General features: G+C 44.1%; 1 protein-coding gene across 10 annotated transcripts in view, besides 4 other annotated features; it reads left to right on the plus strand.

Moving 5' to 3' along the window:
• TDRD12 (tudor domain containing 12) overlaps positions 1-24,611 on the plus strand; it is a 109,814-nt gene that overhangs the window by 71,930 nt on the left and 13,273 nt on the right. For 6 of the 10 annotated variants that reach the window (NM_001437947.1, XM_011527473.4, XM_011527475.3 and 3 more), the window contains 13 exons: positions 2,932-3,117; positions 6,039-6,195; positions 6,612-6,739; positions 8,471-8,662; positions 8,948-9,076; positions 10,060-10,177; positions 10,960-11,093; positions 11,226-11,446; positions 15,838-15,952; positions 18,397-18,581; positions 19,514-19,724; positions 21,988-22,080; positions 23,752-23,924. In NM_001437947.1, the coding sequence (NP_001424876.1) occupies positions 2,932-3,117; positions 6,039-6,195; positions 6,612-6,739; positions 8,471-8,662; positions 8,948-9,076; positions 10,060-10,177; positions 10,960-11,093; positions 11,226-11,446; positions 15,838-15,952; positions 18,397-18,581; positions 19,514-19,724; positions 21,988-22,080; positions 23,752-23,924 (2,042 nt within the window). The remainder of the gene's footprint in view (positions 1-2,931; positions 3,118-6,038; positions 6,196-6,611; positions 6,740-8,470; positions 8,663-8,947; positions 9,077-10,059; positions 10,178-10,959; positions 11,094-11,225; positions 11,447-15,837; positions 15,953-18,396; positions 18,582-19,513; positions 19,725-21,987; positions 22,081-23,751; positions 23,925-24,611) is intronic. The other 4 variants (NM_001366102.1, NM_001438799.1, NM_001438800.1 and 1 more) reach the window with 1 other exon arrangement.
• Positions 20,061-20,562: an enhancer, noted in NCBI's record as "H3K4me1 hESC enhancer chr19:33302663-33303164 (GRCh37/hg19 assembly coordinates)". NCBI's record gives its function as "activates a minimal SCP1, AML or CMV promoter by ChIP-STARR-seq in naive H9 embryonic stem cells {active_cell/tissue: H9 hESC(naive)}" and the evidence as "EXISTENCE:reporter gene assay evidence [ECO:0000049][PMID:30033119]".
• Positions 20,554-20,736: a silencer, noted in NCBI's record as "fragment chr19:33303156-33303338 (GRCh37/hg19 assembly coordinates)". NCBI's record gives its function as "represses an EF-1alpha promoter that drives an FKBP-Casp9 reporter gene in an ReSE screen in K562 erythroleukemia cells {active_cell/tissue: K562}" and the evidence as "EXISTENCE:reporter gene assay evidence [ECO:0000049][PMID:32094911]".
• Positions 20,554-21,062: a biological region, named in NCBI's record as "H3K4me1 hESC enhancer GRCh37_chr19:33303165-33303664".
• Positions 20,563-21,062: an enhancer, noted in NCBI's record as "H3K4me1 hESC enhancer chr19:33303165-33303664 (GRCh37/hg19 assembly coordinates)". NCBI's record gives its function as "activates a minimal SCP1, AML or CMV promoter by ChIP-STARR-seq in naive H9 embryonic stem cells {active_cell/tissue: H9 hESC(naive)}" and the evidence as "EXISTENCE:reporter gene assay evidence [ECO:0000049][PMID:30033119]".

Genomic DNA, 24,611 nt, shown 5'->3' on the forward strand with positions numbered 1-24,611 from the left:
TTGTTCTCAGCAGCAAGGTTGGAGGCTCTTTTTGGAGAAATTTGAATGGCTCTAGAGAAATGACCTTCAGATGATGCTATTTGGAATTCTCCCATGAACAGGGCCTGCTTGCCTCCCTGCCTTTCTGCAGTGAGGTGACACTCATGTGATGACAAGAGTCCCCAGAGCCTCCAGTTGGGCGTTAGTGTCTTGCTGTCCACCATGAACAGACATCAGGGATCATGGACATTTGAAGAAAGCCTTCACCTTAAAAAAAAAAAAAAAGACCAGGCTGGGTGCATTGGCTCACACCTGTAATCCTAACACTGGGAGGCCGAGGCAGGCAGATAACCTGAGGTCAAGAGTTTGAGACCAGCCTGGCCAACATGGTGAAACCCCGTCTCTACTAAAAATACAAAAATTCGCCAGGCATGGTGGTACATGCCTGTAGTCCCAGCTACTTGGGAGGCTGAGGCAGGAGAATCACTTGAACCTAGGAGGCAGAGGTTGCAGTGAGCTGAGATTGTGCCACTGAACTCCAGCCTGGGCAATAGAGCAAGACTCCGTCTCAAAAAAAAAAAGACCGAAACAAACTCTCAAGGAAACAAACAATGCAGTGAGGAGGAGAAAATGTTAAAGAATAAATATCCCCAGAGAGAATAAATATCCCCGGAGAGAAGACATTGCATCTCTAACAGCTTACTGTTAAAGGGATGTAATGTTTTTTCTCTCTGGGGATATTGAAAATAGGATATTTTAAAAAGGAACAGGCAGAATAAAAGATTCTTGGAAATTCAAAATATAGAAAAATGTAAAAATCACTAGTATGTTTGAGACATAAAAGAGAAGCTAACTCAGAAAGTAGAGGAAAAAGGCAAAGAGACGGAAATAGGAGGAAAAATTTTTGAGGGTCAGTTTGAGGTCCGGTTTCTGAAAAATGGGATTTCTAGGAAGAATGAAGGAAGATGATAGGACATTTTCTGAAGATTAACATAGGAACATTTTCTGGACCTAATGGACAAGAATTTCCAGATTAAGAGGGCCTACCCATCACAGGCCCAGCACAACTGCTGAAGAAAGAGATTCTGAAGCATCTAAGTTGAGGGAATCTAAAGATTATGAAGGCTTCAAGAGAGATGAAACTGGTCCTACACACTGGACCAGGAATCAGAATGGCTTCAGATGTCTCCACAGTGCACCAAATGAGCATTGATGTCAAAATTCTGATGAGGTCAGGTGCGGTGGCTCACGCCTTTAATCCTAGCACTTTGGGAGGCTGAGGCGCAGATTGCCTGAGCTCAGGAGTTCAAGACCAGCGTGGGCAACATGGTGAAATCCTGTCTCTACTAAAATACAAAAAATTAGCTGGGTGTGGTGGCATGTGCCTATAGTCCCAGTCGCTTGGTAGGCTGAGACATGAAAATCTCTTGAACCTGGGAGGCGGAGGTTGCAGTGAGCCAAGATCGTGCCACTGCACTCCAGCCTGGGCACAGAACGAGACTCTGTCTACAATAATAATAATAATAATAATAATAATTCTGATGAAAAGCTCTTTCCAACCAGAGGTCCTTACTCAAACTGTGGATGGAGCGTGAGGGTAGAGTGAAGACATTTGCAGACATACAGAGTCTTAAAAAAACGTACTTCCCTTCCAACCTTTGTCAAGAAGATATTAAAATATGTTCTCTACCAAAACAAAGAAGTAACCCGAGAAAGATGACCACATGGGTTTGCAGACAAAAGGTGATGGTGAAGGATGATACCAGGATAGTTGCTCAATACCAAGTGCAGAGCATGGCGGGTCCTGACTGCAGCTAGGGCTCAGGACTCGAGAGGACCTCACAGAGCTCATGGTGCCGATGAGCTCGGCCATTTGGAAGATCCTATCCATGTGGGTGGAGAACTCTATTGGAACATTTGGGTTTTAGTGACAGTTACATAGAAAAATAAGCAAATAAAAGTCTATCTTTTAAAAAGCTTTACAAGTGAAGCTGATGGACTGGCAGTTTATTAGGAGAATGAGGAGGAAAAGCCACATCTTTGATCCAGTGAACTTTAAGTTCCTGTCAATGGGCCATCTATTGGATCCTTTTAATTTAGAAAATTAAAGCAAGAATCTTTTTTTTTTTTTTTTTTGAGTCGGAGTTTTGCTCTTGTTGCCCAGGCTGGAGTGCAATGGCATGATCTCGGCTCACCACAACCTGTGCCTCCCGGGTTCAAGTCATTCTCCTGCCTCAGCCTCCTATGTAGCTAGGATTACAGGTGCCTGACACCACGCCCGGCTAATTTTCTATTTTTAGTAGAGACGGGGTTTCTGCATCTTGGTCAGGCTGGTCTTGAACTCCCGACCTCAGGTGATCTGCTCGCCTTGACCTCCTAAAGTGCAGGGATTACAGACATGAGCCACTGTGCCTGGCTTTTTTTTTTTTTTTTTTTTTTTTTTTTTTTGAGATGGAGTCTCGCTCTGTCACCCAGGCTGGAGTGCAGTGGCACAGTCTTGGCTTACCGCATCCTCTGCCTCCTGTGTTCAAGTGATTCTCCTGCCGCAGCCTCCAGAGTAGCTGGGATTATAGGCATGCACCACCACACCTGGCTAATTTTGTATTTTTGGTAGAGATGGGGTTTCACCATGTTGGCCAGGCTGGTCTCGGACTCCTGACCTCAGGTGATCCACCCACCTCGGCCTCCCAAAGTGCTGGGATTACAGGCATGAGCCACCGTGCCCTGCCTAGCAAGAATCTTTTAATGGGAGTCTTAATAGGAGAAAAAGCAACAGTCTTTTAATAGGAGGTTGGTACTGAGAAAAGATTTGGGGAAACTTAACAAGTTAGGGCTTGGAAAATACTGGGTTTGGCAATGTGTAGTGCTTTTTGGGGTGAAATGAGCCATGCAATGGAGTTTTTGTTAGTTTTCTCTACCTTATTTTGGTTTCTGGTTGTTTCTGTTTTGTAGGCTCTTCAAAGAAATAAGTTTCCGGGCCCCAGCCACACTGAATCTTACTCTTGGCCTCCCATAGCGCGTGGCTGTGATGTGGTTGTCATTTCTCACTGTGAAAGCAACCCTTTGCTCTACCTCCTACCAGTGTTGACAGTTTTGCAAACAGGAGCCTGCTACAAGTCATTACCAAGTAGAAATGGAGTAAGTCAAAGACAGTTTTGCCTCACAACCAAATGGGTTAAATATTTATTTTAAAATTATACACCTCACCTTTGAGGAAGGTCGTCTATTACTCAGTTTGGTTTTCAAACTTCCAGGCCAGAAACTGTCCTGTGGGAAAGTGTCCTTTCCCATTCCAATTACTGATGCTCTCATACTGATTCTCACCTGGAGCCTATAGTTGTGGGCCATTGGCTGAGGCTTTTAGAAATGGATATGGAGGCCAGGCACGGTGGCTCACGCCTGTAATCCCAGCACTTTGGGAGGCCGAGGCGAGTGGATCATCTGAGGTCAGGAGTTCGAGACCAGCCTGGCCAACATGGTGAAACCCTGTCTCTACTAAAAACAGAAAAATTAGGTGGGCATGGTGGCATGCCTGTAATCCCAGCTACTTGGGAGGCTGAGGCAGGAGAATCACTTGAACCTGGGAGGCGAAGGTTGCAGTGAGCCGAGATTATACCATTGTGTTCCAGCCTGGACAATAAGAGCAAAACTCCATCTCAGAAAAAAAAAAAAAAAAAGAAAGAAAAAGAAAAAATGGATATCGAGTGTGTAAAATGCTGTCACAGACCTGAGTCTATCTATCCATCACAGTAGCAGCATGAGATGGGCATTGTTCTGACCATTTCACGGAGGAGAAAATGAGGCTCAGGAAGAGTTACTGGGGTAAATTTCCCACTGACAGGGCTAGGAGTGGGGTTGAAGTCTGAGCTTCTGCTGCCTTGTCCCGTGCTCTGCCAGTCATTTCCTAGCTCCCCACCCTGCTTCATAATCCTTCTTAACTTTTCCCATGTGGGAAAACCTCAGAATAACTGTATTAAGTCTGTTCTAGCATTGCTATAAATACCTGAGGCTGGGTAATTTATAAAGAAGAGAGGCTTAACTGGCTCATGGTTCTGCAGGCTGGAGCGGAAGCATGATGCTGGCATCTGCTCGGCTTCTGCGGAAGCCTCAGGAAACTCACAATCATTGCAGAAGTCTAAGGGGGAGCAAGTGTGACACATGGCTGGAGCAGGAGCAGGAGCAGGGGAGGTGCCACATACCTTTAAACACTAGATCTCAGAAGAACAGCACCAAGAGGACAGTGCTAACCCATTCATGAGAAACTGCCCCCATGAGCCAATCACCCCCCACCAGCCCCCACCTCCAACACTGGGGATTACATTTAACATGAGATTTGGGTGGGGATGCAGAGCTAAACCATTTCACTGAGAAAGAGGTGGTGGGAAAGAGAGGAGCGGTGTGAAGGTAAATGATGCAGGGCATGGCCCTGTGCTGCTGGTTTGTGGCTGTTAGGGGCCTGATGGGTGTGGAACCTGCATCTCGGGGCCTGGCACTGAGGGTGCTCCAGACGGGGCTCCACCAGTGAAAAACAGCAGTAAGAAGACATAGGGTTGCAGTTAGGAAAAATACTAGCTCATTTTTCTAACCGTGCCATGCAGTTTTATGATTTCCCTTTAGAAAGTTGCATCTGTTGGCCGGGCGCAGTGGCTCATGCCTGTAATCCAGCACTTTGGGACGCCGAGGCAGGCGGATCACGAGATCGAGATCGAGACTATCCTGGCCAACATGGTGAAACCCTGTCTCTACTAAAAATACAAAAATTAGCTGGGCGTGGTGGCACACGCCTGTAGTTCCAGCTACTCGAGAGGCTGAGGCAGGAGAATCGCTTGAACCTGGGAGGCGGAGGTTGCGGTGAGGCAAGATCGCACCATTGCACTCCAGCCTGGGCAAGAAGAGCCAAACTCCATCTCAAAAAAAAAAAAAAGTTGCATCTGTTATTAGCAGCTGATTTAGTCAAATTAATGGATATGTTTCTATCTCCCAAATTACTTAGCAGCAGACTAATGAGAAGCAACTGATGAGAAGTCGCTTATATTGAGGCCGAACCCAGGCTCAGGGCAGAAGGGGATGTCCAGGTCTCGTCCCTGTGGCCCCCAGCTTTCTCCACGCCTCCATGGTCAGCCTGCTTTCAGGCCTGTGTCTGGAAGCTGGGCCCACCTGGATCTGTATGAATGAAAGAGGAGCCTCAGCTTGTCTTCAGTTACTGGAGGGTGTGTGTCTGGCAGGCAGTGCAGCTTCAGGAGTTACCTGTCGGCTTGCAGAGGGCAGGGTTCAGAAGATAGTGTCCTAAGGAAGAGAGGTTCGTCTTTTTTTTTTTTTTTTTGAGATGGAGTCTCGCTCTGTCACCCAGGCTGGAGTGCAGTGGCTCCATCTCGGCTCACTGCAACCTCTGCCTCCCGGGTTCAAGCAATTCTCCTGTCTCAGCCTCCTGAGTAGCTGGGACTACAGGCACACACTACCACGCCTGGCTAATTTTTGTATTTTTAGTAGAGATGGGGTTTCACCATATTGGTCAGGCTGGTCTCACACTCCTGACCTCGGGTGATCCACCTGACTCAGCCTCCCAAAGTGCTAGGATTACAGGCGTGAGCCACTACACCCAGCCAGGGTTCGTCTTTTTTAAGGCCCCTTTCAGGAGGCATTTAGTTCATTCTTGTGCTTAGGATCTGTGCAGGGGATGTGGAGCCAGACTGCCTGGGTTCAAGTCCTGTTGCTACCATGTATTAGCTGTGCAGCCTTGGGTAACTGACTTCACCTCTCTGTACCTCAAGTTCCTCACCTCTGAAGTGAAGCAGTGACAGCCTCTGCCCCATAAGAGCATCTTAAGAGCTAAATGAATGCATACGTGTGAAGTGCTTCATTGAGACTCAGCAAATATGACTCAATGTGTCTAAATCTGTTTTAATGAAATTATATCGTCACTTTTCTGACCTGTATGATGATTATAGCAGAAACTTACGGGGTGCTGCTTCTGTGCAAGGAGATGTTCTTGATGTTTCATATGGATGCTGAATTCCTAACTACTGTCTGGAGTCATTTGAATTTGTCTGTCTTCGCAGCCTCTCGCAGTCATCGTGTGCCCTGGGTGGAAGAAGGCCCAATTTATTTTTGAATTATTGGGAGAATATAGCATGTCCTCCAGGCCTCTTCATCCTGTGCTATTAACAATTGGGCTCCATAAAGAGGAAGCCAAAAATACAAAGCTTCCAAGGGGCTGTAAGTATCCTTTTCAAGCGGCTATAAAAGTTAAAGTATCCTTTTCACTGTCTTCCCTACAGAAGACAGTGGAGCCTGGCTGGGCCTGGGTCCACAGTGACATGGCTTGTGTGATGACACACTCACAGTCACTAGTCCAGACCTACTTGTCAGCTCCCGACGGTTTTGATTACGAAGGCTTGATCTTGACTTACGTCTGCTTCACTGAGAAAACTATGTCACTTCATTCATTTATCATCTATTTACTGAACACTTAAACTGTTTGTTAGATGCTGGGCATATGGGGTTGACTAGGACAGAAACAGTGTTTTACTTCATTAGAAGGCATTTCTAGAAAGTATGTGGACTCTTAGCAGAGGAAATCTTAGAAAAACCTGTGGAAAATTGAAAATGTTCACTTTTTTTTTTAAATGCAGGTGATGTGATTGTTACGACCCCATACAGCCTGCTGAGGCTTCTCGCCTGTCAGAGCCTGCTGTTCCTCAGGCTCTGCCACCTGATCCTGGATGAGGTAGAGGTGCTATTCTTGGAAGCCAATGAACAGGTGAGCGTGGCTTAAGGTCCTCAGCACTCAGAAGAGAGGCGTGATTAACATGCTAACTGATGGCAGGAAGGAGGAAAAGTGTCTGGTTGGGGAATACATTGGTTAATCTAAAAAAATTTTATGCTTTAACTTCTATAATTAAGAAGAAAGAATGGTTATGTGAAATTTCCTTCCCAGTGTTAGAATTCTTTCTGAAGTGCAAACATTCTTTCCTAGAGATTTCCTAAAATACTTAAAATTTTTCTGATTACAGAAGTAATGATTTTTATTTTAGAAAATTTAAGACATGGAGAAGAGCACTTGAAAAACCCAGCCTGCACAGCCATAGTTTCAGAAGGGATCCCTCTTACTATTTTGGAGTATTTGCTTCTTTTTCTTTGAATTCTTGTGTTTGTAGATACATATAGTTAATAACATCAGGGGTGTGTTTTACAGGCCATTTTGTAGCCTGCATTGTGCAGGGCGCAGCAGCGTAAGGGCCACCGCTTCCTGTTCCACAGCCTGGTGGTTACTGGCCATATAGTATTCAGTTCTTTGGACATCACAGAATTTGTTTTACAACTGTCTTAATATTGGATATTCAACATAATTTGTATACGTGTGTGGCTACAGAACATGCATGCTTTTTGCACCTGTTTCCTTTAGGATGAATTCCTAGGAAGGGATTCATGGGTCAGAGGCTTTGAGCTCTTGTAAGGCTTTTCTTGGAAGCAGTGTCACACAGTCACCAAGGGTATGCACTTGGGAGTAATGATGGCCCCAGTTTTGAGTCCAGGCTTTGTTACTGACTATGAGGCGGTGCAGGGTTCTTGAACTCCTCTGAAGTCTCAGGTTCTGATTTTTGTAAAACTAGTATCTAGGCATACTGCTCTGTGCAGCATCCTTTCTGAAAGCATGACCTGATGTGCACTCCTGTCAGCCATGTGCAGGCTCTCCACACCCCTGCCAGAGCAGGCTTGCCCCAGTTTTCTCCTCCAGCCTAACTGGCCAACAGTGGGATCTTGTCAGCCTAATTTACATTTCCTTGATTATTTTTTAGGTTGAACATTAATTCGTATTGATCATTTGTATTCACTCTGAGTTGCTTGTTCACTTCCTTTTCTTATTTTCTGTTGGTAGGATCATCTTCTGCTAATCAGTTTTTAGAAGTTTTTATGCAAGAACATTAATCTCTTGTTTGTTTGTTATACATATTTACCAAGATATTGCTTATGCTTTAGTTTTGTTTATAATGGAGATTGTAGGATATTTATTGACTTTAAACTTGACATTTTCTCCTATTTAGTTTTTGCCTTTTTTTTTTTTTTTTTTTTTTTGAGACTGAGTCCCACCCTCGTCGCCCAGGCTGGAGTGCAATGGCTTGATCTTGGCTCACTGTAACCTCCACCTCCCGGGTTCAGGCAATTCTTGTGCCTCAGCCTCCCGAGTAGCTGGGATTACAGGTGCACACCACCACACCCAGCTAATTTGTTGTATCTTTAGTAGAGATGGGGTTTCACCATGTTGGCCAGGCTGGTCTTGAATTCCTGACCTCATGATCCGCCTGCCTCAGCCTCCCAAAGTGCTGGGATTACAGACGTGAGCCACCACACCTGGCCTTTTCCTTTTATTTTTGAAAGACTTTCTCCACTCTGAGAACAGAAAATATACAAACCCTTACATTTTATGTTCTGCCACACTAGTTCTTACTCTTTTGAAATAAAAATGAAATTAATTATGCTAATTTTTCAGATGTTTGCTATATTAGATAACTTTAAAAAAAATATTGAAGTTGAAGAAAGGGAATCTGCACCACATCAGATTGTTGCAGTTGGAGTTCATTGGAACAAACATATAGAACATCTCATCAAAGAGTTCATGAATGATCCCTACATTGTGATCACAGCCATGGAAGAGGCTGCTCTCTATGGCAATGTCCAACAGGTAACTTTGTGTGTATGTGTATGTGTATGTGTGTGTGTGTGTGTATGTGTTGGTGGGGGGCTGATGAACACAAGCAAGTAACTTTTATTTCATGGCTTAGTATTAAACAATTACAGCTTTGATTTCATATATAAATTATGAATGAAATACAATTATAGTTGAATATTTAAATTTATATTGATTTCCTATACATTCTTTTCTATTAAAATCCCAACACCTGTGGAAAGTGGATCTGGAGCACCTAAAATATTAAAAAGTCACATTGTTTCTGTGCTTCATTACCAGGTAGTACATCTTTGCCTAGAATGTGAAAAAACTTCTTCTTTACTCCAAGCTCTTGATTTTATTCCAAGTCAGGCACAAAAGACCTTGATCTTCACCTGCTCTGTAGCTGAAACAGAAATAGTGTGTAAGGTGAGTCCATCTCCATATAAAAAATGTTCTGTTTGTTTCAACTGGTCGAATCTCAAGTCATCACAAAATTACTGGGGTGGTTGACTCTGTGGCAGGGAAGTAAAGTTTTACAAGTTTAACATCAATCAGAAGAGGAGGTGGGGTCTTCTCACAGAGCATGCAGGCTGAGGCCTGGATCTGGGGAGGAGCCAGGTGCGGGGGCAGGGCTTTTCCTCTGCAGCAGCGTTCCCCAGGGCAGGGCAGTTTCGTCTTGGTGGAGTATTAAAAGTATCAATTTATAGACATGACAACATCTTCTGTACCCTCTGTTTAAGAAGATTGAGGTGGCTCATGCCTGAATCCTAGCCCTTTGGGAGGCCAAGGTAGGAAGATTGCTGGAAGCCAGGAGTTCAAGACCAGCCTGGGCAACATAGTGAAACCCTGTCTCTACGAAAAAAAAAAAAAAGAAGAAGAAAAAGAAGATTGAGAAGATAACAGTAAAAGATATCATATAGCCAAAAAATCAAATAAATTGGCTAAAGATTTATTCAGTTTTATTTTGTACATATTAGTGCTAAAACGTAGAAATGAAGCCAACTACCAAATAAAAGAATTAATAGTACATCTAGCTTTCTGCAGCAGTCAGCTAGAAGTATAGTTATATGGTACTGTAGTCAACCAGGACTTTCTAGCTGATGTGTCTGTGTGTGTGTGTATGTGTGTTTATACACACACACAAGTATGGCTGTGTTATTTTAAAAGGAAGCAAAATAGTTTCAGCAAAATACTGCTTATTTCACTTGAGCAAGATTTTAGACATAAACAACCGAATTTTGGAAATATATTTCAGTTTATAATCATCTCATTCTTAAGAATTATGGGATCAGTGAGGTAGTGCCCTCACAGATAAATTAAAGTGCTTTACATTGACAATTATTGATGGAACGGTTGGCTTCCAGCCTATATCCCTGACTGTGACCTGGCCTCTTTGATTTCATCTTTAGGTAGTAGAAAGCAGTTCAATATTTTGCTTGAAGATGCATAAAGAAATGATTTTTAACTTACAAAATGTTTTAGAACAGTGGAAGAAGAAGTTAAGTTCTGGCTCTCAAATTATATTAGGTAAGTGTTTTAATTTCTACTTCTATTTAGTGAAGGTTGAGCTACTAGGAATTCTATCTTTAATTCATTTATATATCTCATCTCCAGATTTCTCATTATTCCCCAGGTTTACTGAGACTTTATTAGCAATGTTAATTTCAAAATGAAAAATTAACCTCCACTAAGATTTTGATGTTGAGGTAAATCTCTCAGGTCAGTGGGCAGCCACCATTAGTCTAGACATTCTCCCTAGAGTTATAGCTTGAGGATCACTATCATATATATGATATATATTATCATATATATATATGATAATATATATCATATATATGATAGTGATATATATGATAGTGATCATATATATGATAGTGATCATATATATGATAGTGATATATATGATAGTGATCATATATATGATCATATATATCATGATAGTGATCCTCAAGCTATATATATATTCATGTATATGACTATATACATATGACTATATATAGTCATGCATGATTGCTAAATTTAATATTAAAAATATAAAAGTCAAAATATATAGAATAAGTGAAAAACATATGGGCCGCTTGGATTTGTAATAAGAGACATTTTTCAGGCTAAGAAGGAGACCACTTTTCTCTGGAATTTAAGCACTGGGCTGTGGCATTTTGGGGAAAAAAATGGGGAAGAAGTTTCTTTGCATCCAAAAAAGTAAAATGTGATATGGAAATGCACTGCAGTGTGGCCGTGGGAACTGCCGGTTAAAGTAAGTGCGGTAACTCCAGCGCGTGTGACATTGTCGGACTCCCTCTCTGCAGCCCTCACAGACGACTGCGTCCCACTCTTGGCCATCACCGATGCCACGTGTGTGATTCACTTCAGTTTCCCTGCCTCACCAAAAGTTTTTGGTGGACGCCTGTATTGCATGTCTGATCATTTTCACGCTGAACAGGTTTGGTGAATTTTTATTCTCTTCCATATTCCACTGGCATCTTCTGTGTCATGATAAGCTCAGAGTCCACAAGGTTTCCTCAGTCAGACTGGGATAGATGATCCACTTCCTTTATTCACCCCCAATTTTCAGGGTTCTCCTGCAGAACAGGGAGATAAGAAAGCCAAATCTGTCTTGCTGCTGACGGAGAAAGATGCGAGCCATGCGGTGGGCGTCCTGCGCTACTTGGAGCGAGCGGACGCCAAGGTCCCCGCAGAGCTGTACGAGTTCACCGCAGGAGTTCTGGAAGCCAAAGAAGATAAGAAAGCCGGAAGGCCTCTTTGTCCATATCTGAAGGCTTTTGGTTTTTGCAAGTGAGCCAGTAATTTGTTTCTTATTAAACTGATGTATAACCTGCAGTAAGGTGCACAGCTGTTGCAATGTGGTGAATTGTCATGTATCTAGAAGCCACCACCCACTCTGAGGGAGCAGTCTGGGGGTTCCCTCGCACTCTTCCCCACGTGCCCTCCCCTCTGCAGGGCTGTCAGTGTTGATTAACTTTGCATGATTTTGAACTCCATAGAAATGGCATCGTGGTATGTTCTCTTTCGTGTCTGGCTTCTTTCTCTCAGCCTCATGTCTGTGACATTCGTCTGTGTTGTTGTGTGTATCTATGGTTTGTTTTATAGCTCAGTGTTCTGTTGTATGGCTGTATCACAGTGTGTGTATCCATTCTCCTATTGATGGGCCTGTGGGTGGTTTCCACTATCAGGCTATGATGTTTGAAGCTGTTAGGAACACTCTTGGCCATGTCTTTTGTGGAAATGTGTACGCATTTCTCTTGGGTAGACGCTCCAGAGGGCAAGTGGCAGGTCATGGGGTAGGCATGCGTTTAACTCTTCCAAAGCGGCTGGCCATTTTCCGGTCTGGTCAGTACTGTCTGACAGAGCCTGAGTTGTCCCCAACCCTCACCAGCGCTTAGTGTTGGTGGAGGTGGAGTGGTAAACCATTGTGATGTTAATATGCATTTCCCTAATGATTAATGATGTTGAATATCTTTTCATAGGCTTGTGGGACAGTTGGCCATCCTCTTTTTGTGAAGTGCCCGTTGAGGTCTTTTGACCAGTTTTTACAGGGAGTGTTTATCTTTTTCTTCTTGGTTTGTCGGGGGGAGTAGCTTATATATACTCAACATAAGTACTTTGTGTGATGTGTGCACTGAGAATGTCTCCTCCAAGCTGTGGCTTGCATTTTCACTCTTTTAATACTCTGCTGATGATGAACAGGCATTTTTAATTTTGATGAAGTTTTTTTTGTTTTTTGAGATGGAGTTTCACTCTGTTGCCCAGGCTGGAGTGCAGTGGCGCCATCTCGGCTCACTGCAAGCTCCACCTCCCAGGTTCACGCCATTCTCTTGCCTCAGCCTCCCGAGTAGCTGGGACTACAGGCACCTGCCACCATGCCCAGCTAATTTTTTGTATTTTTAGTAGATATGGGGTTTCACCATGTTAGCCAGGATGGTTTTGATCTCCTGACCTCGTGATCTGCCCGCCTCGGCCTCCCAAAGTGCTGAGATTACAGGCGTGAGCCACCGCGCCCAGCCTGATGACTTTGTGTGCTTATAGGAAATATTTGCCTATCTTGGCCAGGTGCAGTGGCTCACACCTGTAATCCCAGCACTTCGGGAGGCCGAGGCAGGCAGATCACAAGGTCAAGAGATCGAGACCATCCTGGCCAACATGGTGAAACCCCGTCTCTACTAAAAAATACAAAAATTAGCTGGGCGTGGTGGTGCGTGCCTGGAGTCCCAGCTACTTGGGAGGCTGAGGCAGGAGAATCACTTGAACCCTGGAGGCAGAGGTTGCAGTGAGCTGAGATCATGCCACTGCACTCCAGCCTGGAGACACAGCAAGATTCTGTCTCAAAAAAAAAAAAAAAAATTAGCTGGGTGTGGTGGCACACACCTGTAATCAGTTACATAGGAGGCTGAGGCAGGAGAATCAATTGAACCTGGGAAGCGGAGGTTGCAGTAAGCCAAGTTCGCGCCACTGCACTCCAGACGGGGTGACAGAGTGAGAGATTGTGCCACTGAATTCCAGCCTGGACAACAGAGCGAGATTCCATCTCAAAAAAAAAAAAGTTGTCTATTTCAAGGTCATGAAGGCATTCTCCTATATTTCTAGAAGCTTTGTAGTTTTAGCTTTCACAGTTACACTTATAATTCATATTAAATTAGTTTGTATGTATGACCAGGTATGGTGGCTCACACCTATAATCCCAGCGCTTTGGGAGGCTGAAGTGGGAGGATCACTTGAGCTCAGGAGTTCAAGACCAGCCTGGGCAACACACAGAGACCCCGTCTCTTTAAAATATATATATGTGTATTATATATGTTATATATTATATATATAACATATATAATATATATATACACACACACACACACACACACATATATATATATATAAGCCAGCTGTGGTGGCACATGTCTGTAGTCCCAGCTACTCAGGAGCCTTGGGTAGGGGGATCGCTTGAGCCTGGGAAGTCAAGGATTCAGTGAGACGTGATTGTGCCACTGCACTCCAGCCTGGGTGATAGAATGAGACCCTATGTCCAAAAAAAAGAAAAAAGAAAAAAAAAATATGTGTGTAATATGAGATCTGGGGCAAGGTTTGATTTTTCCATATGGATAATGGTTTGCTCCAGCATCGTTTATTTAAAATATCATTCGGTTCTCACTGCATGAGTGCGTTTGCCATGAGCCAGGTGATGGTATTTGTGGTCCATTTTTGGACTCTATTCTGTTACTTTGGCCTATTGGTCTAACTTTATACCAGTATTACACTTTGTTATAGCACGTCTTAGGAGCTGGTGTATGAGTCCTCCAGCTTTGGTCCTCATCAAGGTTGTTTGGCTATTTTAAATCCATTGCATCTCCACATACACTTTATTTTTTTTATCTTTTTTTTTTTTTTTTTTTTGAGATGGAGTCTTGCTCTGTCACCCAGGCTGGAGTGCAGTGGCATGATCTCGGCTCACTGCAACCTCCTCCTTCTGGGTTCAAACAATTCTCCTGCCTCAGCTTCCTGAGTAACTGGGACTATAGGTGTGTGCCACCATGCCTGGCTAATTTTTGTATTTTTAGTAGAGACGGGGTTTCACCATGTTGGCCAGGCTCATTTCGAACTCCTGACCTCAGCTGATCCACCTGCCTCAGCCTCCCAAAGTGCTGGGATTACAGGCGTGAGCCACCGCACCCGGCCTCCACGTACATTTTAGAATGAGCCTGTTAGTGTCTTCAGAAACCTTGCAGAATTTTGCTAGGGAGTGCATTGATTGTGTTGATCAGCTTGGAGAGCATGGGTACCTTGACAGTCATGGGGCTTCTCTGCCTGATCCAGACGCAACACCACTGCGTGATACACAGACAGCTGAGGCTGGGGCATGGGTGCCTGATACGTAGCTGCTGGATTGAATTTAAAGATAACTGTTGACATTAACGTTTTTGAATTATGGTACATTAAATGTGTTACTAGCAGTATTCCTATTTACGCTTAAAGAAGACCGAGTTTTTTTTTTTTTTTTTTTAAGACAGTCTCTGTCTGGCTCTGTCACCCAGGCTAGAGTGCAATGGCGTGATCTCAGCTCACTGAAACCTCCGCCTCCCGTGTTCAAGCAGTTCTTGTGCCTCAGCCTCCTGAGAAGCTGGGATCACAGGCGTGAACCACCACACCTGGCTAATTTTTGTATTTTTAGTAGAGATGGGGTTCGCCATGTTGGCCATGCTGGTCTCAAACCCCTCACCTCAAGTGATCCGCCCTCCTCAGCCTCCCACAGTGCTGGGATTACAGGCATGAGCCACCGTCCCCAGCCAAATACTGACTTTATTTATTTATTTATTTATTTAGAGATGGAGTCTTGCTCTGTCGCCCAGGCTGGGGTGCAGTGGCACCATCTTGGCTCACTGCAACCTCTGCGTCCTGGGTTCAAGCGATTCTCCTGCATCAGCCTCCTGAGTAGCTGGGACTATAAGTAGGCACCTGCCACCATGCGCAGCTAATTTTTGTATTTTTAGTAGAGACGGGGTTTCACCATGTTGGCCAGGCTGGTCTCGAGCTCCTGACCTCAGGTTATTTGCCTGTCTTGGCCTCCCAAAGTGCTGGGATTACAGGCACGAGCCACTGTGCTCGGCCTCAAATACTGACTTTTAAAACGGCAATTTCAACTATTTCTCAACGTGGAAGCAGCATTGTAGTTAAGGAACGGCTTCTGGGTTAGAGATCGATTGCCCTTTGTTGTGTATTATGGCAATGTATTTCTAATTCAGTCTTTATTATGGAAATACATTTTGTTCATTTACATAATGCATTTTAGAATGTCTAGAGAAATAGGGTGGCTGAGCAGGGAGGATCTCTTGAGCCCAGGAGTTAAGAGGCTATGGTGAGACATGATCTTGCCACTGCACTCCAGGCTGGGCAACAGAGTGAGACCAAACTCTTAAAAAAAAAAAAAAAAAAAAAAAAAAAAAGAAAGTTTGCTAGAGAAATAATGAAATAACTCATTAAGTTTATTCAGTGTTAATTAAAATGTAAAATCCATTTTCACTTATTTGTATATTATTAATGTCATCTGAAATATTTAATGTGGTTATTCAGTCTTTAGGGTGTTTGGAATAAAAGTTATCTGATTTAGGTTGCAGATTAATTTTCTGAAGAAAGCGTTAAAATTCACATTAACAATTATTACTTACTTATGATAAGTCTAGTCATTTCATTTTCAGAGACAAAAGGATCTGTCCTGACCGACACCGTATTAATCCAGAAACGGACTTGCCCAGGAAACTGTCCAGCCAAGCCCTACCTTCATTTGGATACATTAAAGTAGGTTTGGTTAAAGATGCTTGTGTCCTCTGACGAATGGTCATGTTAATAAACGTGTTTTATTTGTTAAGCAGGATCTTAGTAGATGTCATGGTGCCTTCCAGTGATCAGTATTAACATACCACCATTAGTGCAACCAGAGGCACGTGTCCTTACAAGGCGCCTTATTTCAGGGCCCCAGCGTATTTATAAGCCAAGATCAAATTCAGTAATGGATGACAGTTTAAGGATTTTTTTTTCAATTATATTTTCAGAAAATGTTTCTATTTGGGGGCCATTAAAAATAATGCAGTGACTGGGCACAGTGGCTCACACCTGTAATCTCATCATTTTGGGAGACTGAGGTGAGCAGATCACTTGAGGCCAGGAGTTCAAGACCAGCCTGGGCAACATAGTGAGATCTTGTCTCTACAAACAGATTTTTTAAAAAATAATGATACAGTGATTACATGAATCTTTTCAAGACATTCATGATAATTTCTTTGAGGAAAATTCTGTAATAAGGTGCAGATAGAATTGCCAAGTTAAGAATTTTTTTATTTTCTTTCTAATCCTTTTTTATTAATTTATTCATTTCTTTTTGAGCATACAATTTCTCTCCCTTTCATCTGTTTCCCTTAGAGCAGTATCTGTTGTGTTAATTTCCTAGGCTGCTGTAAAAGATTACCACCAAGTTAGTGACTTAAAGCCACACACATTTCTTCTGACATGTTCCTGGATGTCAGGGTGTCAGCAGGGCCATGCCCCTCCACAGCCTCCAGAAGGTGACCTGGCCTGTGGCTCGCCTGGCGTCCTTGCATCTCCGCCAGCAGCCACTGTCACTCTCTCTCCACCTGCATCTTCACATGACCTCCTCTTCTCTGTGCCCCTTGTAAAGGACGTTTCATTGGAGGGAGGGCCCACCTAGATAACCCAGAGCCATCTCCCAGTCTGCAGACTTCACTACCTCTGCAAAGACCCTGTTTTCAAGTCAGGTCAAAGTCACAGTGAGCTTGGGGGTTAGGACATGGACATACCTCTTTTGGGAGAGTCACCACCCAACCCACTACGGTTTTCATTATTGAATTTTTAAAAAAATTTCTAACTCTTTCCTGCATTCTGTCACCTCATTTCTAAGTTGTTGTAATTCTGATCTGTTACTCTTTTATACACTCATTGTTTTCTTAGTTAACAAACTGAAAGCAACATTTCTTGAAGGTTATAGTTTTGATCTGTTTGTGGATGTATCTTTCTAACAGGTTTCATTGTCTGTAGGGATGGTTCTTCTGCTCTTTATTCTCTTTTTAATTATTTTATTTTTATATATTATTATACATTTTGTTATTTTATGATGACTTCATATCGGATTTGACCTTGTTACTTTGCTATTGCTCATTTTTAGATAGAATTTGTTTTCTTGACATTTTGGAGGAGGTGTGGGTCAGGGTAACTTTTCTGATTTCACAGAGTTCCCATTTCTGTTTTTTATGTGCTGTGTAAAATGAATATGGTGACATAGTGTCTGAGATTTCTGAGATTCCCTGGCCCTGTTCCCCTCCTGAACTGTTACCTGGTTTTCTCTTCCTTCATCCCTCCTGTCCCTGGAGGGACAGTGTGGAGATTTCACAGGGGCTCCAGCCTTCACCCACTGTGGAGGCAGGTGAAGCCTTCCAGGCTCGCTTGTTGCACTGGCTGAGCCCGTTTCCAGGGAGGGCCTCTTGCCTCTTCTAGAGCTCTCTGTTCTCAGGTCTATTGCTTCCCTCTGCTTCCTCCTGCACAGGCACAGACACTGGTGCCTGTGGGTGTCGCCAGCCCGGTCCTCTCCCCTATCCTGCCAAGTGCCTACTTCTCACTCCTGGCATCTGCTCTGGGCAGCCAGGGCTCCCTCCCTTCACACAGAGCGTCTCTGCCCTCTGCACACTGACTTTTTCCTCACACACAGGTCCCCCTGCCTACTCTAACCTGTGAAGGGCTGTCTTCTCCAGCACACACAAGCTGTGGCCTCTCTGTCCACTTCTGGATTGCCTAGGTCCCTGTAGGACAGTTTCATCCCTGTAACCCTGGAGGCTGATATACAGTAGCTCTTAATAAAATGCATCTTGTTACCTGAAAAAAGATCAGAAAGTTTCAAGAGACAGCAGTGCTATTTTAAGAAGAATTTCTATAAAAGTGCAGTTAGAAGGTAAACAAGGAACACTTATACCTAATAATGAAGTTTTAAAATAATGAAATTTGCAAAATAAAAAAATCTTCCATTAGATTTAAAGTGAAACTAATTCTTTATGACTGTGTGAGGTATTGGTTTTGCTTTGCTTTTTTGGCTAGCTTCCTAGTTTTTTCTAAATCCACGTTGCTAAGCTTTGGTTTCTTAGGTTGGGTACTGATTTCTGCAGATACAGGGAATGTGTACATATCCGGTTTAGACTAAGTTTGTTTCTTGGTCATGTTTACTATATATGTTTCAGATAATACCTTTTTATATTTTGAATGCAACAAATTACTTTGGCCGTATAGTTGATAAACACATGGATCTTTATGCAACTCTCAATGCTGAAATGAATGAGTATTTTAAGGATTCTAATAAAACAACTGTGGAAAAGGTGGAGAAGTTTGGATTGTATGGATTAGCAGAAAAAACGCTTTTTCACAGGTAACACATCTGTTTACTTCATCTGTAAAGTTTTGAAGCATGAGGTAACTAAGTGGTGTTGAGTTCCGATTTTGACCTCTGTCCATTTGACTGAGTGTGTATGTGAGCCTGGTGACAGCGGGGTGTCCCCCCAGATGCCTGCTCCAGTTCTTTGTGGGAAACTCTTCCCCAGGCTCCTGAGCCCAGTGACACCGTGACCCATTGAGCCATCACTGCGTGCGACATACACATACATCTTTAACTCACTTAATTCTTGCCAAGTTCCTATCAAGTGGGCATCATTCCCATTCTACAGATAAGAAAACAGCCTTGGCGATGTTACGAATGTGGTGTCAGGTCAGCTCGATACCTGGCATAGTTTGTTCCAACCTGGTCAGTCTGAATCACATGCTCGTTTGTACCCACTTCCCTTGAATCCACACCTGGCACCACTTGGTGATAGCCTTGAATTCAGAAACTTTGAAACTTGACAGGTGACGTTGCTCATGCCTGTAATCCCAACACTTTGGGAGGCTGAGGTGAATGGATTGCTTGAGCCCAGGAGGTCGAGGCTGCATTGAGCTATGATCATGCCACTGCACTCCAGCCGGGGCCACAGAGCAAGACCTTGTCTCTACAAAAAACAAACAAACAAAAAAGACAAAAGGAAAAAAATAAAAAAACTTTGAGACTTTAATTTGCTATGTTAATTTTTATTATGTTGTTAGATAAAAGGATTTACTCTTATTCAAAAGTACATGTTTTTATACTTATGTATACTTTAAATAATCCACCACTTGAATTTTTGAAGGCCTTAGTTTTTTATTTCTAGTATAGAGTAAAATCATGGCGTTTTGGAGTCTTTTTATATGTTTTCCATTTCATGGTAATTTGAGGCAAAGATGATCCTTTCTGGAATCTCTGCGTTGAACCGATGCCCCATTGCTCTCCAGGGTTCAGGTGTTGGAAGTGAACCAAAAAGAAGACGCCTGGGCCCTGGATGACATCCTTGTAGAGTTCATCGATGAAGGCAGGACGGGGCTCGTCACAAGGGACCAGCTGCTGCATCTCCCAGAACATTTCCACACACTTCCCCCGCAGGCTGTGGAGTTTATTGTCTGTAGGGTGAAACCTGCTGACAACGAAATAGAATGGAATCCGAAGGTGGGTGATTTTGGCTTTTTATCTATTGTTGACTTTTAGAATATATTTAACCGAGAATATACACAGAATTGAGGCCTGTCTGGATTTACAGTGTCACGTTTGGGCAGGGAAAGTGCAGTCTGCTTAGATCCCCACGGTGTGTGAACGTCCCAGCTGAACCCTCGGAGAGGTACCAGGCAGCTGCAACACTGTCTTCACCACTGTCCTTGTGCTTACGGTCACAGAATCTGTATAAAGTAGGGATGTTGGTAAAATAAACTGCCCCTCAGCCTAAGCAGGGGAAGCACCTACAAAAGTGAACATTCCAGGCTGGGTGCTGTGGCCTGTAATCTCAACACTTTGGGAAGCCGAGGGATGAGGATCCCTTGAGCCCAGGAAGTTGAGGCTGCAATGATCTATGATCGTGTCACTGCATTCCAGCCCAGGTGACAGAGTGAGACTCTGTCTCTTAAAAAACAAAGCAAATCAAAAAACAGAAAAAAAGTGGAAAAGTGGACCCTCCAGCCAAAGAGGGGGCACAATGGGCGGTCCCAGGAGAGGCCAGGTGATTCCACTGGTGCAGGGACGATGGGCCAGGAAGGAGAGATGGAGATCAGAAAAGCTGCCAAAGGAAGGGTCATTTCCTCTGGGCTTCGTGGGGTAACTAGGGTGTCACCAAATAGAACAGATGGGGCGTTGAAAGCAAAGAGAACCACTTGTGCTCAGGCACAGGCACAGAAGAGGGCTCCATGCGGGCTCACGTGGCCATCCAGCTGGAGTGGGAAGGCCCAGCCCTTGCAGACCTGTGCTGAGGGCACAGGCACAGGGGGGCCCGCGTCTCAGGCACTGTCCAGGTGGGGTGGGAAGGCCCAGCCCTTGCGGCCAGGGAGAAACCTGCAGCCAGTCCTGCCCATCACTGGAGCATGAGTCGTGTTGATAAGCGCTCCAGTTCTCCAAGGAAAGGTTATATTTTGCATAATTCGACAAATGGGACATGAAATAAGTTAATTGCAATTGGTAAAGTACAAACAGTTTGGGTTATAAACAAAGTTAAACATTATCCAGGAAATAAACAAGTGAATGTTTCCATGATACAGGATAAATACACAACCTTACTCTTCTAAGTTTAGTAAAAGGAGCCTTTATCACAAGGCAGTGGCATTCCTTCTTTGTAATGACTGTCTGCTGTGTACCAGGTGCCCTACTGGGTTCTGGGGATGTAGCCGTCAGCAAGAATGTCACAGTTCTTTCCCCAAGAAACATCTGACCTGTAAAGATGACTGACCAAAAGTATTTCTTGAAGGAGCAGCCTTCTGTGGGAATGGAGAAAGGTTCTCCTGTGTACATTCTTCTGAATTAATTCACCAAGTGCAAGGGGGATGGAAACGGGCAGGTCCCTTTCGCCCTGCTTTGTTCATGTGAAAATGTGTGTGAGAGGTTGCTTAGACAGGTCCTGCCTGTTGTGTTCCTCCTTGAGAGGAAACTGCCATGGCCAGGCATGGTGGCTCACACCTATAATTCCAGTGCTTTGGGAGCCCAAGATGGGAGGATTGCTTAAGCCTGGGAGTTCAAGACCAGCCTGGGCAATATTGTGAGACCCCCATCTCTAAAAAAAAAAAATTAAAAATTAACCAAGTGTGGTGGTGCATGCCTGTGGTCTCAGCTACTGGGGAGGCTGAGTAAGGAGGATCGCTGGCACCCTGGAGTTCGAGGCTGCAGTGAGCTATGATTGCGCCACTGCACTCCAGCCTGGGTGGAGGAGAGAGACCCTGTCTCAAAGAAAAAAAGAAAGAAAACAACAGCCATTTACTCAGCAAGGGGTACACAAAGACCAGGCCCTCAGCTCCAGTGTCACTGGCTGCAAGGCAGCTCCATTGCAGTGACGGCCTTGGAGCAGGAGGAACAACTTTCACTTCACTTTCATTGAGCTTTCAAAGAAATAGGCATCCGTGCTTTAAAGACAGATTGGCAGGTGATGGAGGAGATGGGGTACGCACGTCCACAGAAGAAAATGTACAGTGTTGGGTCCCAAAGGCACAGACCCCCGCCTTGAGCTCTGGGAACTCACTAGTACGAGGCCATGGGCGAGTTCCTTTCCACACCTGCCTCACTAAACTCTGCTGTTAGCCTTGTGGACGAGAGGGGGTGATGACCTCTGTGATCTCATAGCATTACTGTGAGGCTCAAATGAAATGCATGGAATATTTTGCAAACTGTATGGCATATACAAAATAAGGTATTTTGTTAAAGCCTCACCTAAAATAATGTTAAGTGCTTTTTTCAGGTTACTAGGTACATTCATCATAAAATTGTTGGAAAATTGCATGATGCAAAAGTGATCCTGGCTTTGGGAAATACAGTTTGGATTGATCCAATGGTAAGTACGCATTTTTTCTTAGAAATAAATTTGTTTGAATGGGCGGCTAAAATTATCCAGATTATTCTAAGCCCTCACTTGAATAACTGCTGCATAGAAACGGTGACTTATTTGGGGATTTGTTAGGGAGAGGTGTTTTTCATGTTATTGGGTCATGAATTGGGTTGTGGGTTTAGTTTTTGTTCAGGGGAATATTTTACATTGTAACCCCAGCGCACACGTGCATTGTGTATGCGAGGCACACGCACGCACACACATGCAGCCGAACAAAGCTTTGTGAGGACTCCATGCTACATTCTCTGATGCTGACAGTTTCTAACTTTCTCATTCACCACGCACTTAACTGAGCACCTGCCACGTGCCAGGAGCAGTGCTGGGCACTGGGGTTCCTTCTGTGAGCAAAGCAGACGAAGCCCCCATCCTGCAGAGCAGCCGTGGGAGGGGGCGGGGGAAAGGGGGAGGGGAGGACACATGACAAGGACATGTGACTCACGGGCCTCCGTGTCTCTCCACGGCTGCTGGCACCACCCTCCCTGCTTGTTCCCCAAGAGCTCCACTCCTCCACTCAAAGTTCTGCTGTATTAGACTTAAATCTTACTATGAATACTTACCAGATTTAACAGAGTCAATTTATAAAAACTTTTGCTGAATGTTATTTTTATGAGGTTGGAAAAGTTTTAACATGTTAAAAGGGAGTTTGGATGTAAGGTTTAAGACTAAGCAGAAAATGGTTTTCAGAAGAGAAAATATGGATTACAAATGCAGGTAAATGAGGAGATTTGGGCATCTTAGTTGATGTTGTGATAGTATTGTGTTTGTTTCTTGTTGGGGGGAGAAAAGCAGATATTTTATTAAGCAGAGATTTAAAAGAGATTGAAGTAAAAAAGAAAGCCCACCTGGCAGATGTGTCCACACTGCAGCACGTGTGGCAGTGACCACGGCGGCCAGAGGGAAACAGACCCACCCTCACCATCTCCACCCGTTCCTGCCCCCACCCATTTTGAGCAGAGAGAGGCTCCTCCACACATTCCCCGGTGGACACACATTCCTGGGGTTCACCTAGGAAGGGGCCCCAGCCAGGGCAGGCCTGGAGCACCCCCCACCCTCACCATGGGAGGGACAGCCCCTCCTATACCCACACTGCCACCAACAGTGCCAGGCTGTTGCAGATTTTTATGTTTTACTTAATTTTGTATAAATGGAAATGGATGAGGATGTTTGGTTGCAGAAAAGACGAACAGAAGAAATGGCCCAGAACAGGATTCAGGTCCTTGGCTTAGGTCCTTCCCATCAGGCAGACGCTGAGCCTCAGGAGGTAAAAGTAGTTGAGAAGGAATGAGAAAGATGTACGAATTATGCATCTGACTAGGGGTTTATCCCAGATTTGCAATTTGGTCTTGACTAGGGGTTTATCCCAGATTTGCTCTTGCCACCCCCCCACCACCTGCCCATATTTCTGTGGCATGGGGTGAGGCCTGGATGATTTGGATGGAACCTCAGGTAGGAAGCAATCCAGATGCTGCCATGGAAAGCCCTGCACGTTGTGGCAAGCGCCGAAGTGCAGCCAACGTGGCAGGCTGAATGAACCAGAGAGGCCCTGTGGGAATGTCTATGCTTCAGTTAAAATTCAGAGTGATTACTGCTAATGTTCAATTTTTTCATTGATTCAAGGTGCACATTACAAACCTTTCCAGTTTAAAAACCTCTGTCATTGATTATAATGTTCGAGCTGAAATTTTGTCCATGGGCATGGGCATTGATAATCCAGAACACATAGAACAACTGAAAAAATTACGCGAAGATGCTAAGATACCAGCTTGTGAAGAAAGCCTAAGCCAGACCCCGTAAGTGGATTTCTGTCTCCTTTTTGGAAGAGTTGTTTTTTGGAAATACAACTCACAAGTGTTAAGGACATGTTTTATGAAAGTAGAAGAGTTGGCTGGGTGCGGTGGCTCACACCTGTAATCCCAGCACTTTGGGAGGCCAAGGTGGGCGGCTCACGAGGTCAGGAGATCAAGACCATCCTGGCCAACATGGTGAAACCCCGTTTTTACTAAAAATACAAAAATTAGCTGGGTGTGGCAGCACGTGCCTGTAATCCCTGTTACTCGGGAGGCTGAAGCAGGAGAATCGCTTGAACCTGGGAGGCAGAGGTTGCAGCGAGCCAAGATCATGCCACTGCACTCCAGCCTGGCGACAGAGTGAGACTACGTCTCAAAAAAGAAAAAAAAAAAAGTAGAAGGGTTTTTAATGAGTCTCCATGTACCCATCACTCAGTTGTAATAATGACCAAGATTTTGGAAATCTAGTTTTATCTATACCCCAGCCCACACTTGCTTTTGTTGGAGTATTATAAAGCAGATCTCAAATATAGTATTTTACCTGTATTTCTTACAGAAAGGATTGTTGTTAACTTTTTCTTGACAAATAACGCACACACAGAAAAGTGCGCACATCAGACGTGATGTGTTTCCTGAACATACCTGTGTAACCAGCCCAGATCAAGAAACAGAGCCTGGCTCAGAGCCTCC

The sequence above is a fragment of the Homo sapiens genome, chromosome 19 (assembly GCF_000001405.40).
Source record: "Homo sapiens chromosome 19, GRCh38.p14 Primary Assembly".
In the NCBI taxonomy this organism is placed as follows: Eukaryota; Metazoa; Chordata; class Mammalia; order Primates; family Hominidae; genus Homo; species Homo sapiens.